The following is a 2296-nucleotide window of genomic DNA, read 5'->3' on the forward strand; positions in this document are numbered from 1 at the left end:
GCATAAATGAGCTTCATATTATTTTATTAGAGAGAATTATGGCCCAACCTGTCGTGAAGAAGTTTGTGAGGGTGGGGAGGCAGCCCTCAAGCTATTAACCCATTGCTTTCCAAATGCCAGCAGGGACATTCTTTTGGGGCAGACACAGAGGGAACTCATCTTTCTAAGCCACTCTTCTGTAGTTGCTGGTTGCCTGGAAGGAAAGTGTCGTCTTTCTTATGGGATGCAGTGCCCGTCCCCACCCTGGCACAGCCACCCTCCTGTACCTGCTGCCCCACCTACCCCACTCCCAGTGCCCATTTCCACCAGGCTGCCCCCACACCTGTCCCTGCTGTCCTCTGTGCCCCCTGATGACAATGCACTGACGCAGGCTCATCCTTTGATTCCGGCTCAAGCACCGTCTCCTCCGGGAGCCTCCCTGGACCACTTCTCTGCCAGGCAAAATTCATCTCTCCTTCTTTTGTAGCAGAAGGCGCTAGATCATCCAGGATCCCAGATTTTTCAAAATCGGGGAAGTTGGGCTAAAAGACCCTCCGACATCTACGTCTCAATCTTGGCAGCTCCCACCCCAAGGGAATTTAATTACTTACCTTGATATGACACAAAGACCAAAACACTTCATGATGAAGTGATGGAGGAAGGAGGTGAGCAGATTGGGGGAGACCTCCTCCCCAGTGACCATCACCCAGGCTGTGCAAAAGGCCTAAACTGGGACCCAGGTGACTTGGGCTCCATCCCAGGCTCTGCCTCTAAGTCTCTGTGCAGCCCTGGATGCGTTCTCTTCTCTAGATCTCAATTTCCTCAGCTGAGAACTCAGGCAGAGGACCTCACTCTGGCTCCTAGGAATTCTATTAGAGAATTCCAGGACTTCCTACAAATCATCAGGCTCTGGCCCAGGGCTCCAGGATTTAGGTGCCACACCATTTGGAAGCTAGAACTGGAGCTGCAGGTAAGAAACCAATGGAGAAGGCTGCCAGTTTTCCTGAGTCTGGAAGATTCCAGGACTAAGGAATCCTTCACCCCAGAGGGCTGGCCCAGCTCCGGTTCCTAAGGAAGCAGGTCTCAAAAGCTGAGTTCTATTTTGATTTTTGCCTCCTCCATCAACTTATCCTTGCTAAAAAAAATTCATAGCTCTCTCTCTGTCTCTCTGTCTTCATCTGCTTGGGCCGTCATAACCAAATAGTACAGATGGGATGGCTTAAACAACAGAAATTTATTTTCCCACAGTTCTGGAGGCTTGAAGTCCAAGACCAGGGTGCCAGTATGTCTGCTTTCTAGTGGGGACCCTCTTCCTGGAGTATAGACCACCTTCTCACTGTATCCTCATGTGGGGAAAAAGACCAAGCAAACTCTCTTGTGCCTCTTCTTAGAACGGCAATAATCCTACCATGAAGACCCCACCCTCATGGCCTCATCTAAACCTAATTACCTCCAAAGGCCCTGTCTCCAAATACCATCACACTGGCGATGAGGGCTTCAACATATGAACTGGATTGCTGTGAACACAATTCAGTTCACAGCACTCTCTCCTCCCTATAGAATAAAAGGAATACCCATTAAAAAAAACAGCTTCAAAACAAGGTAAAGGGAATTTTCTGGAGCTCTCGGTGCCACTAAAGTCACAACCCAAGAGTAGCTCACTATTCATAAGGGAGAATGAGAGTAAGGATGGTGCTCTGGCCTCTCTCAACCCTTCTCCAAGCAAGGTTTGTGGCTCCCATGAGAGAGCTTCCTTCAAATAATTTTTTCCAAGGGAACAGATTGGTGCCTAAAATTGATCTGTCATGGGATAGGAAGAAAAGGGATTTTGTGCTTAAGAAAGAATCTAAATCCTAGCCTATGATTCAGCATCATATAATTCAGTGCTTTTGTTTTGCAGGTGAGGAAACTGAGGCCCAGAGAGAGAGAGAGGAGAAGCTGTGCTAAAGGAATCAACAGGGGTTCCTAACACCCAGGCCCCAAGCCCAACCCCGAATTCCTGATGCCTTCCCTTCAGAAAATGCTCTAAATGGGGGCCATGAAAGAAATCTGGCCTCCAACCATGGCATCCTGTGTGAAGCACTGAGTCCAAAGTGACGCAGCAAGTGCCCAGCAAAAGGCTGGAGGGAGCATTTGCCCTGATGACTTTCTTTTTTTTGAGACAGAGTCTTGCTCTGTCACCAGGCTGAAGTGCAGTGGTGTAATCTCGGCCCACTGCAACCTCCGCCTCCCAAGTTTAAGTGATTCTCCTGCCTCAGCCTCCCAAGTAGTTGGGACTGCAGGTGTGCGCCACCCATGCCCAGATAATTTTTATATT

The 2296-nt window shown here is 49.0% G+C and overlaps 1 annotated feature.

The window, feature by feature from the left end:
* Window positions 266-1465: an enhancer, noted in NCBI's record as "CDK7 strongly-dependent group 2 enhancer chr16:66210191-66211390 (GRCh37/hg19 assembly coordinates)". NCBI's record gives its function as "activates an origin of replication core promoter dependent on BRD2, BRD4, P300/CBP, MED14 and CDK7 cofactors, with strong dependence on CDK7, by STARR-seq in HCT116 cells {active_cell/tissue: HCT116}" and the evidence as "EXISTENCE:reporter gene assay evidence [ECO:0000049][PMID:35650434]".

This window comes from Homo sapiens, chromosome 16, assembly GCF_000001405.40.
Source record: "Homo sapiens chromosome 16, GRCh38.p14 Primary Assembly".
Lineage (NCBI taxonomy): Eukaryota > Metazoa > Chordata > Mammalia > Primates > Hominidae > Homo > Homo sapiens.